Source organism: Homo sapiens, chromosome 21, assembly GCF_000001405.40.
Source record: "Homo sapiens chromosome 21, GRCh38.p14 Primary Assembly".
Classification (NCBI taxonomy): Eukaryota; Metazoa; Chordata; class Mammalia; order Primates; family Hominidae; genus Homo; species Homo sapiens.
The window spans coordinates 28,936,442-28,951,574 of record NC_000021.9 but is presented as its reverse complement, the minus strand read 5'-3'; the positions used below and the strand labels follow the sequence as shown (position 1 = coordinate 28,951,574).

General features: G+C 34.5%; 1 protein-coding gene across 6 annotated transcripts in view; it reads left to right on the top strand.

The window, feature by feature from the left end:
* LTN1 (listerin E3 ubiquitin protein ligase 1) overlaps nucleotides 1–15,133 on the top strand; it is a 64,734-nt gene that overhangs the window by 41,303 nt on the left and 8,298 nt on the right. For all 6 annotated transcript variants that reach the window (NM_001320766.2, NM_015565.3, XM_047440741.1 and 3 more), the window contains 8 exons: nucleotides 3,969–4,111; nucleotides 5,288–5,423; nucleotides 5,624–5,768; nucleotides 6,979–7,192; nucleotides 7,671–7,908; nucleotides 8,239–8,313; nucleotides 10,169–10,355; nucleotides 14,878–15,049. In NM_001320766.2, coding sequence (NP_001307695.2) covers nucleotides 3,969–4,111; nucleotides 5,288–5,423; nucleotides 5,624–5,768; nucleotides 6,979–7,192; nucleotides 7,671–7,908; nucleotides 8,239–8,313; nucleotides 10,169–10,355; nucleotides 14,878–15,049 — 1,310 coding nt within the window. The remainder of the gene's footprint in view (nucleotides 1–3,968; nucleotides 4,112–5,287; nucleotides 5,424–5,623; nucleotides 5,769–6,978; nucleotides 7,193–7,670; nucleotides 7,909–8,238; nucleotides 8,314–10,168; nucleotides 10,356–14,877; nucleotides 15,050–15,133) is intronic.

Genomic DNA, 15,133 nt, shown 5'->3' with positions numbered 1-15,133 from the left:
AGAAATCTCTCTGATAGAAATCTTTTCTTTTGCCCTTTCCTAATACTCTTTTTCCATCACTTTATTTGCTATATGGAAGTGATAGGGAAAGTTACTCTTCTCTTAAATAACATCATCCTATTGAAATATATTCTAGAAATGTAACAAATGTGTCTGTTCTTAAGACAAAGAAGTAGATTGTGGGTTTGGGTGTGCTGGTGAAGCTCAGCATTCAAATTAATACTTAGCTGAGATTTACCAAGAGGCATTTTGAATTTACTGATTTACCAAGAAGAATTCTGAAATGATAGATACATGTTCTGGCATAGTAGAATTCTAAATTAAATTTTGACTGTTTTTTATCTTAAAAGTTTTAAAAAACTTTTTATTTTGAGGTAATTGTAGATTCACATGAATGTGTAAGAAGTAATACAAAGAATAAATCATACATCTACCCAGTGGTACTGTTTTGCATAACTTTAGCATAGTATTACAACCAAGGAAAAGGCATTGATACAGTCAGTTGACTTAGTTTACATGCACATGTTTGTGTATGTTTGTGTGTGTGAGAGACAGAGTGTGCGTGTGTTCTGTGTAGCTCACATCTGTGACCACCACCACAGTCAAGTCCAGAACAGTTTCATTATCAGGATCCCTTGCGTTATCCATATATAGCCTCAGCCACCTCCCTTCCCCTTCCCATTGTCCTAATCTCTAGCAACCACTAATCTGTTCTCTCTCTTTGTAATTATGTCATTTAAGAATATTTTATAAATGGAATTTGCCAGGTGTGGAGGCTTATGCCTGTAATCCCAGCACTTTGGAAGGCCAAAGTGAGAGGACAGCTTGAGCCCAGGAGTTCGAGACCAGCCTGGGCAACATGGCGAAACATCTCTACAAAAAAATACAAAAATTAGCTAGGTGTGGTGGTGTGCACCTGTAGTTGCAGCTACTCAGGAGGCTGAGGTGGGAGGATCACTTGAGCTCAGGAGGTGGAGGTTGCAGTGAGCAGAGATCACGCCACTGCACTCCAGCCTGGGCAACAGAGTGAGACCCAGTCTCAAAACAAGACAAAAAATGATATTATATAAATGGAATCATACTGTATGTAACTTTTTGACATTAGCTTTTTTAGCATAATTAACATTTTTTTCTGATTATAAAAGTAATACGGAATTAGCTAAAGAACTATTGGAACTAATTACTAAGGAGATGGATGTATATTTACCACACAAAAATGAATAGCTTTCTTATTTACCCATAGTAATCAATTTAAAAAATGGTATGGGAGAAAAAGAAGATTCCATTCACAATGATAACAAAAACTATAAATACTTAGAAATAAACTTAACAAAAAATTACAATTATAAAACTTGAATAAAGATCACAAAAGAAGGTGGGAAGATAAATTGTAAAAATGATTGTGTCAATCTATAATTTCAGTGCGATCTCAATCAAAATTTCAGCAGTTTTTGAAAAACTTAGTAAACTGTTCTGAACATAGTATACATTTGAAGGAAAAAGTTCTCAAAAATAAGAAATTTTTGAAAAAAGTGAAAGAGACTGCATGCCAAATATAACATATATTATTGAATTATAGTAATTAAGCAGTATGAAATTGAAGAGTAGACAAATCAGTGGATACAGTCCAGAAACCTATCCACACATAAATGTGAATTTAGTTTTTAATATAGGTGGCATTTCAAATCACTGTGGTGAGTAAATAATAATGATGGGAAAATTGGTTGTGTGTTTGGAAGAAAAATACTGAGACCTTCTCCTTTACATTTTATGTAAATATATATATATTTGATTCTGTAAAAATGAAAACTTGCAACCTAAGTGCCCATCAGTGGATAAATGGATAAATAAAAGTGTGGTATAACCATATAATGGGATATTATTCAGCCTTAAAAGGGAAAGAAATTCTGACATGCTACATACAGTCTGTATGAACCTTGAGGACATTATGCTGAGTGAAATAAGCCAGTTACAAAAAGACAGATACTCTATGATTCCTTCTGTAGAGTAGTCAGATTCATAGGGATAGAAAGTAGAAGGTGGTTGCCTGGGGCCGAGGGTGAGAGAGGAATGGAGCATTCGTGTTAGTGGGTAGAGTTTCAGTTTTGCAGAATGAAGAGTTCTGGAGATTAGTTGCACAATAGTGTGAATGTACTTAACACTGCAGAACTCTACACTTTAAAATGGCTAATACATTAATTTTATGTGTATTTTATGACAGTTAAAATTTTTTATATAGTATTTCTGAAAGATGAAAACTGCGACAAAATATAAAGATTACAGGGACAAATGACAAAATGGGAGATGACATTTGCAAATCAACAAAAAACTATCTACATATAGTTTATATAAATCAGTAAAACCCTCCAAATTGGAAAATTTATCAAAGACTTAAAGAGGCAATTCATAGATGAAATGGTCAAAGGTAGCTCAATACTGAAATGTGAAATATGAAAGGATTTGCCTTACTAATAATGACAGAAGTACAAATTAAGAGCAATGGTTTTATCCACTATATTGCCGAGAATCAAAAAGATTCATTAAATGTGCAGCTAAACAGTCACACCTGTGCATATTTGGTGAAAGTATAAGTTGATTATGTGTTTTCAGAAGCAATTTGAGATCACCAACATATAATACATTCAAATCCTTTGAGCTTTCAATTCCACTTCTAGGAATTTAGCCTAAAGAGGTGTTTATACATACACAGAATAGTATCTTCTTAAGGATATTTATTGCAGCATTATGTGTGACAGCAAAAATTTGGGGAGGGGAGAAACCTAAATGTTCACTGATAGGGAAATAGTTAAATAATGATACCTCCATAGTATGGAGTGTTAGGTAGATTTTGTTCATTTTTGTTACGTAGCTTTAAAACAGAATAATTTATATGTTCTGACAGAAAGTATATGTAAGTGGTAAATGATAGAACAATATGTTTAGTGTCATCCTTTTTATGTGAATAAAACCCAACTATATATATGCACAAATACGAATATCAGTTCAAAGAAAGGACACACAGGCCTGGAATCCCAGCACTTTGGGAGGCCAAGATGGCTGCATCACCTGAGGTCAGGAGTTCGCGACCAGCCTGACTAACATGGTAAAACCCCATCTCCACTAAATGAAAAAAAAAAGTTAGCCAGACATGGTGGTGCATGCCTGTAATCCGAGCTATTTGGGAGGCTGAGACAGGAGAATCACTTGCACCTGGGAGGCAGAGGTTGCAATGAGCTGAGATCGTGCATTGCACCCCAGCCTGGGCAACAAGAGTGAAACTCCGTCTCAAAAAAAAAAAAAAAAAGAAAGAAAAGAAAGGACACACAACTGGTACTATTTATTTAAGTTGAATCAATTGACTCTATTTTTTTTTTTTTTTTTTTGAAACAGAGTTTTGCTTTATCACCAGGGCTGGAGTGCAGGGGCCCAATCTCAAGCTACTGGAACCTTTGCCTCCCAGGGGCAAGTGATTTTCCTGCCTCAGCCTCCTGAGTAGCTGGGATTACAGGTGCCTGCCACCACACCCGGCTGATTTTTTGTATATTTAGTAGAGATGGGGTATCACTATGTTCGCCAGGCTGGTCTCAAACGCCTGACCTCATGATCTGCCCTCCTCAGCCTCCCAAAGTGTTGGGATTACAGGCATTAGCCACCGCACCCCGCAATTGACTCTTTTTTTTTTTTAAAAGAGGACATAATGTCATGTGGCTAGTATAATTTTAAAAAATCATATATGGGGAAAAGTTATATATGCTCATTTAAAAAATTTATGCAGAAAAGAGAAAAGGAGCAAAAAAAACCAATTTCATCAAGTCAGCACTTGTTAAATCTATCATAGTTTCTTTTTATGTAATTATATGTGATAGAATTATTCATCTATCTTTTTCAGTAGTCTAAATAAAAGAAATATATAAAATAACTGTATGTTTGGAAGAAATCTAACTTGTGTTTTTTTTTTCTTTAAACAGTTTTTTTCCACTAACTGAAGGCAATTTGCATACCATTCAAAGTCTATGTCCATTTTTGTCAAAAGAAGAAAAGAAAGAATTTAGTGCTCAATGTATACCTGCTCTTTTGGGCTGGACTAAGAAAGATCTTTGCAGCACTAATGGTTAGTTGCTTGATAATAAATATTTCATTAATTTAATTATTGCTTGAGATGAAGAACTGTTTCTAATATATAAGACCACATCTAGCAGAGGTAAATTGAATTACAGCTGATTTGTTCTGAGATTATATGGATGAGTGTTGTTAGACAGTGGCTGTTACCATTTTACAGTACAAAAATGCTGGGCCTTAAGGGAAGACTTACGCCCAGAAATACCTTCTAACCATTTCTTTTCTATCTATAGCTTTTTAAAGCTGTGCCTCATTTCTCCCTAGCCAATCAATGATTGAACATATAAAGGCAAAAATAGCGTCTGTTGTATTTAAAACACTGCACTTTTCATTTGTTTATTAATTTAATAAACATTTATGAGCACCTGCTACATGGTAGTTCCTATTGTAGAGAAGACAAACATAAAGTTGTATTATGTGATAACCGATGTAGCAAAAAGATGTGCTATGTATAGAAGTGGCAGAAAGGAAGGAGTTTCCACTCTGCTTTGAGGGTGTTAGTGGCAATTTCACAAAGAGAAATATTTCTACTGGGTGTTGAAGGATAAATAGTTTTCCATATGGACATAGTTGGGGAAGGGCATTCCAGGTACACAAAAACATACAAGGGTACAGATTGTTCATTTTGGCTGGTATGTAAGATAGAAGGTTGGGGACAGAGGGTGTTAAGATACACCAGTGGATGGATTTTGAGGAATGGTAGAGATTCTAAAGAGTGAGTCCACATCAGAGTTTACCACATGTACTAGCTGCTATTGAGTGAATGAATGTATAAATTATGAAACAGTATGTTCTATTTTCCATTTGCTGTTTCCAGCTACTCTGTAGCTGTAGGGTTTTTTTTATTTGAATGATGAGTTTGCTGAATATGTCCTGCACTTAAGAAACCAAAACAAAAACAGCATAAGTCAGTTTAAATTACAGCATCATTCACTCTTTCTCCTCCCCCAAATTCTCTATTGTGTGCTAGGTGCTGGGTTTGGAGACAGGGTCTCTGCCCTTTGGAGCTTATAAGCTCATTTGTTGACTCTTAGATAAAAGTCATTATTAGAGTTCTTAACCTGAACACTTCTCAAGAAAGTCTTTTACTTCTCAAAGTGGACTTTTTTTTAATAGTAGCGATATAGTTCTTAAATATTTTTAATTTTCATTTTGAATTTTACTTTAGGAGGTTTTGGACATCTTGCCATTTTCAATTCTTGTCTGCAAACCAAAAGTATAGATGATGGAGAGCTATTACATGGAATATTAAAAATCATAATATCCTGGAAGAAAGAGCATGAAGATATTTTTCTTTTCAGTTGGTAGGTGATACTTTATACTATGTTTTTCCTTCAGTATACAATTCAGACAAAGATTACGTATCTGTGTCACAATTTTGTAGAGAAATTATGGTAGACATTTAAGTCAGTTATAAATAAGTATGTAAGATTTAAAGTAGCATACTTTCTAATTGAATGTCAATATAATCTTTTATTGTCTTTTGTTTTTATCTTTATCACAGTAATCTATCAGAAGCAAGTCCAGAGGTACTGGGTGTAAATATAGAAATAATCCGGTTTCTTTCCCTATTTCTGAAATACTGCTCATCCCCTTTGGCAGAGAGTGAGTGGGACTTCATCATGTGCTCCATGTTGGCTTGGTTGGAGGTAAATTAACCCGATATGTCATCACCTCTTGTGGGTTTTTGTACATACTTTTGCATCAGAACTATTTACTAATCTCATTCTTTAAGTGATGATTGTAATTGGTTCCTTTGTATAATTTAAAACACTTTATAGATGTTCTTCTTACCAGCTACTATTTGACAGAATAGTAAAATGATAGATTTTTAATGACTACCAGCATCATTCAGTGACCAAATCTCCTGTTATTAAAATGCCTTCTCCATTAGCTTATTGTAATATTTGCAGCACAGCCCTTTCAGGTTTTATCTGTTAATGACAATTATTTTGGTCTTTTTTGGTTATAATTAGATTATTTCTAAAACATACTGTGTGAATATTGTGAGAGTAATGCATTAAATAGTAGCAGATTCAGAGGGAATTAGTGTAATTTTTGACCCAAAGCAACCAGAGGTATATTACTTGTGGGCTCCAAGGCAGCAAGTCAGTCAGGGTTGGATTGGTCTGAATCTCTGCTTTGCCTGCTATTAGCTATGTGACTTAGAGTTTTAAACTTAAACTATTTGAGACTCAGTTTTCTTTCTTTCTTTCTTTCTTTTTTTTTAAATTTGAGATAGAATCTCGCTCTGTTGCTTAGGCTGGAGTGCAATGGTGCGATCTTGGCTCACTGCAACCTCCGCCTTCTGGGTTCAAGCAATTCTTGTGCCTCAGCCTCTCAAATAGCAGGATTACAGATGCCCACCAGCATGCACGACTAATTTTTATATTTTTGGTAGAGATGCGGTTTCACCATTTTGGCCAGGCTGGTCTCAAACTCCTGCCCTCATGTGATCCACTTGCCTCAGCCTCCCAAAGTGTTGGGATTACAGGCATGAGCCACTGTGCCTGGCCGATTTTCTTATTTTAAAATAATAACTTACAACTTGTAGGGCTACTGAGAAGATTATAAATGTGTATTTAATGTGTCTGACTTAGTGTTTCCTTCCATGGGTTAGAAATTAAAAAGGGTACTTGAGAATAAATTGTTTATTAATGATTCTATTCATGGTATTTAATTTTGAAGAAAAAAGTTATTTTGATGTAAAATTTTATGTTTCTCCTGAGATTACACACCTCAACTGCTTTTCGTTTTAAAATTCAAAGAAATGAAAGTGGGGCTTTTCTTTATATTGGCTTTATTTGTAGTGTTCTGGTAGAAGTCTGTTTACCTATTTCATTTTTATTGTTTTTTCAGACAACAAGTGAGAATCAGGCATTGTATTCTATTCCACTTGTGCAACTGTTTGCCTGTGTCAGCTGTGATTTGGCCTGTGACCTCAGTGCTTTCTTTGATTCCACAACTCTGGATACCATTGGCAATCTTCCTGTAAATCTAATCAGTGAATGGAAAGAATTTTTTTCCCAAGGCATCCACAGTTTGCTTTTACCTATTTTGGTGACTGTTACAGGCAAGTGAAAAAGGGAATAATAGTGAGATTGATTCATTGGAAATGACTTACTGAAAAATTCAAAAGCAAAAATTTTGATGTTTAAATCAAATAATACTAAATAGTAAAAGAAAAAGCCAGAAGAGAAAGCTTGGCTTCTCAGAAGCATCATCTATGCTTTACTTTACAGACAGAAATTGAAAAATGGCAAGGTATCCAATGACTGTTGCAAATTAAAATAATAATACTTCAGATAACATGAATGGATGATGTGAATAGAACCTTGCTATTGAACATTTGCTGGATCAGATAAAAGTCATTAAAACAGTTGAGATTAACTGGAATATATATTCAGTTCATGTTTCTAGTTAAGACTGCTTTATTGTTTATGTCTAGTTTTTATTTCATTTTCTTAAATGACATTTGATTGTTTGTGAATCATTTAAGCTATACTAACTTTCTTTTGAGACGTGCATGTTTCTTTCCTTTTTGTCATTAGGAGAAAACAAAGATGTGTCTGAAACATCCTTTCAGAATGCAATGCTGAAACCCATGTGTGAAACATTAACGTATATCTCAAAGGAACAGCTATTGAGTCACAAACTTCCTGCAAGATTAGTTGCTGACCAAAAAACAAACTTACCAGAATATCTCCAGACTTTGTTAAATACATTGGCCCCATTACTCCTCTTCAGAGCTAGGCCTGTGCAAATTGCTGTTTATCATATGCTATACAAGTAAGAATTCATCCAATTGAATCAATGTTACAGTGGTCTAAAAAAATAGAATATATGCTTAGTTTTTACTTTTAATTATTTAAAGTAAAATTTTTAAAAGAAGGAGATCTGACTGCTTCACTTATAGGGACCCTAAGTTGCCTCATCTTTTAGGTTATTGTTCTCTATACACAATTTATATTTCAATAGTCCTGGCTATAGTAGTTATTTTAAAGAAAACTCATTAAAACATTTACTCATTATAAAATAAGTATTGGTCTTTCTGCTCTTGAGCACGACTTAATAAACAGTTTAATATCACATATTTAAAAATAATGTTCTAATTTCTAGATTGATGCCTGAATTACCACAGTATGATCAGGATAATCTAAAGTCATACGGAGATGAAGAAGAAGAGCCAGCCTTGTAAGGTTTTTTTAAATAATTTGTTTTATTAAATTCTTATAATCCATCTCACTTATAATGTCTTTAGAGGACTGAAGCAGCACAGAAGCTATAGAGTTATATTCATTCTACAGATAGATCTTTTTAGTTATCTGTAAGATATAAATGAAATATAGATTTCACCCAAAAGATTGTGTCACTCTCTTAATTGTTCTTAAATCACATTTTCCGTTTGCTACTGTTCAGTAAAACTATCTTTGGCCATATGGTGGCTGTGGAAAGAGTGTATCGGTTCAAGTATCTATTGAGCATCCACTTTGTGCAGAGTATTAATTAAATGCTGAGGGGAATATGCAGTGTTTAGTGAGCACTTTCTTTTCCTTAAGGAATTTATCTGATACAGATGATACTGTAGCGTTATGGAAAATATAGTATATGATAAGTGCTAAGAAAAAGGATAGATAACTTTTTTTTAAAGGTCAGTTAGGCCTATATAAGATAGCATGTATGAGGGCACAATTAATGTACATCAGGAAGGGAAGACTTTCTTTTGAGGAAGAGGCATTTAAACTGGACCTTTAAGGTTAGGTAGCATTTCTGCAGGACAGGAAAGACAACATAAGTTAAGAGAACATCATGTACAAAGGCACTGAGTCATGAATGTGAGGATGTGCTTGGGGAATATTGAGTAGTTACCACTTAATGTATAGTTTTATTGATAATATCTTTCTTTACTGGAATGTAAGTTCTGTGAGGGCAGGAATTTCTCTCTCTTATTTCTGAGAGAGAAATAGGCTAGAATGCTGTAGGCCAGAATGCTTCCTGGCCTATAATAAATGGCCTTAAAAATGACTTTTTTGGGGGGATTTGGTCATTACTTGGTAGGAGATAGGGCGCCACCAGCCGATTCTGACACTAATGTGAAACATGAATTGTAAAAAGAAGCAAGCAGAGGTGGAGCTGATTGCAGAAGTTAAATAACAATGCATGGAGGGCAATGTGAAAAGTGGAGAGATTTTGGAGCTGGTATTTTATAAGATCTAGTGACTATCAGTATGGAATATAGAAGGCTGGGTACATGAGATGGAGGTGTTGAAGGAAAAGACCTAAGAGCAGAAGTTTGGAGAAGGCCTGTACTTGTGGGCTGGGAGAAGGAAGCCACAAGGGAAGAACGATCACAGAAGTGAAAGGAGAGAACCAGGCTAGAGTATCATGGAGAAGAGAGTTAAGTATTTTACTTTTTGAGAATCTCATAAGTTCACCTGAAAGTATAAATGAGTAGAGTAGTTCAATAAAGAAGAAAATTAACTTACATTGTTGTGAATTAATCTGAATGGTACATTTATTTTCCTAAAAAGATTACAATCATGATTTTTTAAACAGGCACATAATTATTTTCTGTGTTTATCCGATTAATAGTATCATTGTGATATTTCTTAATAGTACTAAGTAGATAATATGCAATAAAATAGAAACTAGAATGAAGTGACAAAGTTCGAAGTCTTAATCTTCACTTTGTCTTTTATAAGATGATAAAAGGCCGGGTAGGATTTAGAATCCCTAACAGTTTCCCCTACTAACTGAAAGACGTTGGACTCATCATTTGGCTTCTCTGGGTGTGTGATTTTTTTTCACTTAGAAAATTGAAAGAGACGTTTTCTAAAAATGTCTTTCCTTCAAGTGCTATAATATGTCTTTTTTATTTTACTGTTATGTGAGATTAGGAGTTAAAATTGGCTCAATAGAGGGGAATTTTTAAAACGTTTTTTGGAAAACAGAGAAATTTTTCTAAAATGCTTGAAGTTTACAAGTACTGTCAATTTGTTAAGGAATGAATTATAAAGAAAACTTGTGGTGTTTAATCATTGATTCTTAGGTCACCACCAGCAGCACTGATGTCTCTTCTTAGCATTCAAGAGGACTTACTAGAAAATGTTTTGGGGTGTATTCCTGTTGGACAGATAGTTACTATTAAACCACTGAGTGAAGACTTCTGTTATGTTCTGGGATACCTTCTCACTTGGAAATTAATACTAACTTTCTTCAAAGCTGCATCATCACAGGTAAATAAATATGTGACAACTTTCGATAGTTCTGTCCTAATATGCTTCTGATACTGTTCTAAATACCTTCCTTTCAGTTTAATAAAAGGAAAATCCTTATGTTTTAATCTCATCTTTTAAAATTTATTTTATTTTGTTTATTTGAGACAGGGTCTCACTCTGTTGCCTGTGCTGGAATGCAGTGGCACAATCTCGGCTCACTGCAACCTCTGCCTCCTAGGCTCAACCGATCTTCTCACTAAGTAGCTGGGACTACAGGTGCAAGCCACCATGCCTGGCTAATTTTTATATTTTTGTAGAGATGGGGTTTCACCGTGTTGCCCAGACTGGTCTCAAACTCCTGAGCTCAAGCGATCCACCCACCTTGGCCTCCCAAAATGCTGGGATTACAGGCATGAGCCACTGCGCCCAGCCTAATCTCATTTTATCCAACTAACTTCCATCTGCTTAATAAGTTTACTCCTGTCCCTTATACCTTACCTTCCAAGCAAAAGTAATTACTCTGATAGGTGGCCAGATCAACTTTTTTCTAACTGAATGTAGTCACCAGGTTCTTTTATTTCAGGAAATAATATTTATATAATTTAATTTTGTACTATCATAGTAATGATTTCAAAAGAATTGGATCTTGTGTTTTTTGTTTTTTTTTCGGAGGGAGTCAGTTTGTCACTCTGTTGTGGAGATATAACTTAATACATCATTGGAAATTTACCTTACTTGAAAATCACTGTTTGGAGAGAGATCTGTGAAACATTACCTATGTAATAATTCAAACTGTTACCTAAGTGGTGAAAATATCTGAAATATTTTGTCCAAATTATTCTAGCAGCCACTAGATGTCTCTGTTGTCTCATGTTTAGGAAGTAAGACCTTGTCCAAGAAGAAACTGGAAAGATCTCTCTAGTTTTTCTGTTAGAAGGATCCCCACTTGAAGATAGTTTGAGCCGGGGAAGTGGAGGTTGCAGTGAGCTGAGATCATGCCACTGCACTCAAGCCTGGGCGACAGAGCCAGACCCTGTCTCAAAAAGAACAAGGAAGATCCAAATCTCTGTCAATCTTTGATTGAATTAGCCTAATAAAATATGTGCCTTCTTTTGACAGGTCAATACAAAAAGATTTAGTTTATCATTTAGTGTGATTAAGTATTCATGGCATTCATTTCCAATGTGACTTTTTGGAATTTTTAAATTATAATTTATGTTGTTGCTCATACCCTATACCCTGGTACAAAGATATCAATTTTTGCATCTTTGCATTTGTATATCTGTGGGGAAAAGTCAAATCACAGAAGCAGCATTGATCTAGCTGTTAAATAGATTAGTTTTCTCTTTAGGCCTGTCACTTATTTTTGTGACTTAAGCTAGTTTTATTTGCTGATGATATATTTCAAGAGCTCCTTATTTGGCTTTTACATCAATTTCTTAAAATATTGTTGATCTTTAAAAAATAGCAGCAGATTGAGGCATTTGTGTATAAGAGTTTTGTTCTCATTTTATATTCAGAAATTAGGAAAATGGCCATGTGTCACCTTTTTCATTAAGCTGGGATTGGGTTAGGGTGCAAAATTATACGGCAGCATTTATTATTATTGAGTCTGAAACTTGAACTGAGCTGTGGGCAGATAAACCAGAATAACCCACTAAGTAATACTAATTAGATGAATCCTGAAATAAACAGAATTTTTCTTCGGAAAACTTTAAATGTTCCTAAATCATGGGTTAACTTTTTTCTCAAAAAAACTAGCAAATCAGATTGAACTGGAAAAAGTTGTATATGTACATGTGTATGTTTTTGTGTCTGTTTTATAAAGCTTTACTGAGATATTGCACATACCATAAAATTTACCCACTTAGCATACACAGTTTGGTGTTTTTAGTATATAGTCATCCCTTGATATCTGCTGGGGATTGTTTCCAGGCTCCCTCCCATGACCCCCACCCCAGCGAATACTCAAGTTCCTTATATAAAATGGCATATAGTATCTGCATCTAACCTATGCACATCTTCCTGTATACTACTTAAAATCATCTCTAGATTAGTTATCACTGATACAGTGTAAATGCTATTGAAATAGTTGCTATACTGTATTAAAGTTTTTAGTATTTTTATTGTTGTATTGGTTTTTTTAAATCACTTTTTTTGCCCCTCAAATGTTTTCAATCTGCGATTGGTTGAATTCTCAGATGTGGAACCCATGGAAGTGGAGGGCTGACTGTATTCACAGAGTTGTGCAACTGTTAACCACTATATAATTTTAGAACCTTTTCAACATCCCATTGTAATTGATAGCAATCACTTCCCATTTCCTCTCAAACCCCGCAGCTCCTGACAGCCATTAAACTGTGTTCTGTCTCTATGCATCTGCCTGTTCTGGACATTTCACATATCTGGTCTTTTGTGTCTGGCTTTTATTTTAGTATATTATTTTCAAGATTATCAAATTGAAGCATGTATCATAAGTATTGCATTTATTTTTGTGGCTGAATAATACTCCATTTTGTAGATCTATCACATTTTGTTTATCTATCTGTTTATCCATTAATGGGCATTTAGGTTGTTTCCTTTTTTTTGGCTATTGAAAATAAAGCTGCTGTGAACATTCGTGTACGAGCTTTTGTGTTGAAATATGTTTTCACTTGTGTTGTATACCTTGGAGTGGGATTGCTGGGTCGTATATGTGTGTTTTTAAAAGTCCATTGATATTGGTGATTAATTTTTTAAAAATCTCTAACTTTTTGTTTTGAAAAATTAAACAATGAAGTTGGAAGAATAATTCAATGGAAAATCACATACTCTTTTAGATAAAAAAGTTACATACATCTTTTAACATATTGCTACATTTGCACATACTTTCTCTGTATTTACTTTTTTTCTGCTGATCTACTTGAAAGTAAGTTGCAGATATTTTGATGCTTTACCAAAAGTATTTAAGCATATATCTCCTAAGATCACGGACATGTTTCTACATAAGCATAATATAATTTTTATACTCAAGAAATTTAATTTTGATGCAATAATATCTAATTTTTATTTAGATACTTTCAGTTGTCCCAGTAATATCTCTATAGTTTTATTTTCTTCTCTATTGAAGATCCAATCAAGAATCATGTTTGTATTTGCTTGTCATATTTCTTTAGTTTCTTTAACCTATAATTTCTATACCTTTCTTTTCTTTCTTGTCATTGTTTTGGCCAGCTGTTTTTAGCCTGTCATACAATGTGAATTTGTCTGATCGTTTCCTCATTAGATTGTGGTTAATTTTTAGCAATAGTACTTACTGCACAAGTTGTTATGTGTTCTCAGTGTCTTACCTCAGGAGCCATATAATGTCATTGTGTTCTTTTACAGGTTGAGTATCCCTTATCCAAAATGCCTGGGACCAGTAGTGTTTCTGATTTCAGATTTTTTCAGATTCTGGAATATTTTTGTTACACTTACTGGTTGAGCATCCCAGATCCGAAAATCTGAAATGCTCCAGGAGCATTTCCTTTAAGCATCATGTTGGTGCTCAACAAGTTTTAGATTATGGAGCATTTTGGATTTTGGATTTTCAGATTTGGGATGTTCATCCTTCATTAGTGATGTTAAGTTTGATGATAAGAGCACTTTGGTCAACATATTTTAAAAATCAATTCCAAATCCTATGACTTGATCCTTGTACTTAAGTATTCATAGTGTTCAGAAAATGCTATATTTTACACAAAGAAAGGATAAATGCTTGAGGTGATGAATACCCCACTTACCCTAGTACATATTATATGCCTATAAAATACCTCATATGCCCCATAAATATCTACTGTGTACCCACAAAAATTAAAAATACAAATTTTTTAAAAAGAAAAGGGAAAGAAAATGATATCTTTGTACTGTGAGGAGATATGTGATATAGTAGAAATTATCTTAAAACCAATACAGATACCAAAGAACTGCAAAGTCAATGTGGAAAATGCAAGCTACTTTATGGAGGGAAAGCAGGAGTTGTGAAGTACAGGTCTCACACAGATACCTGCAGTGCTCCCACTGGTGGCTCGTTTTTCTGTTTTTAAAAGAGAAATCAGAAATCCATATTTTTATGTGAAATTTCCTGATTGAAAAAACAACTCTGAGAAGACCCCCATGACATTTTGGACCACTAGTTTGTGCTCTCTGTCGTAAAGGGATGTCGGAGTTTTTGATACAGGGTGAGGTCAGCCATAAAAATGGGATTAGTTTTAAGCAGGAATTTGAAAGGTTAAGGGCAATGGTGTGGAAGGAATGTATGGAAGACTTGGGAGGAGAGTGAGGGAGTCATCTGTGGGAATGGTGAATAGATTTTCTTGTCTCAGACATTCTAAGCCAAGGTGAGTGCATTGTAATACAGGAAGACAATTTGAGAAAGATATTAGAAATGTGTTACAATAATGAGGGGATAGAATGTCTGCTAGTTTATGAGGAAAGGAAATTTGTTACACTTTGAGTTGTTCTTTTATACCAATTGTCTTGGTGTATTTGGTTTACTAACAAATTCTTTGCTCTCCACCAGCTTCGGGCTTTGTATTCCATGTATCTTCGGAAAACAAAGAGTTTGAATAAATTGCTCTATCACCTGTTCAGGCTTATGCCAGAAAATCCAACCTATGCAGAGACAGCAGTTGAGGTCCCAAATAAGGACCCTAAAACATTCTTTACTGAGGAGCTCCAGCTGAGTATTAGAGGTCAGTAAGATATGTGTTTATGTTCTTTCTTGGACACTAGATTCAGACTAGGTTGAATTAAACTTTTCCCTGAGAATGTGGAGA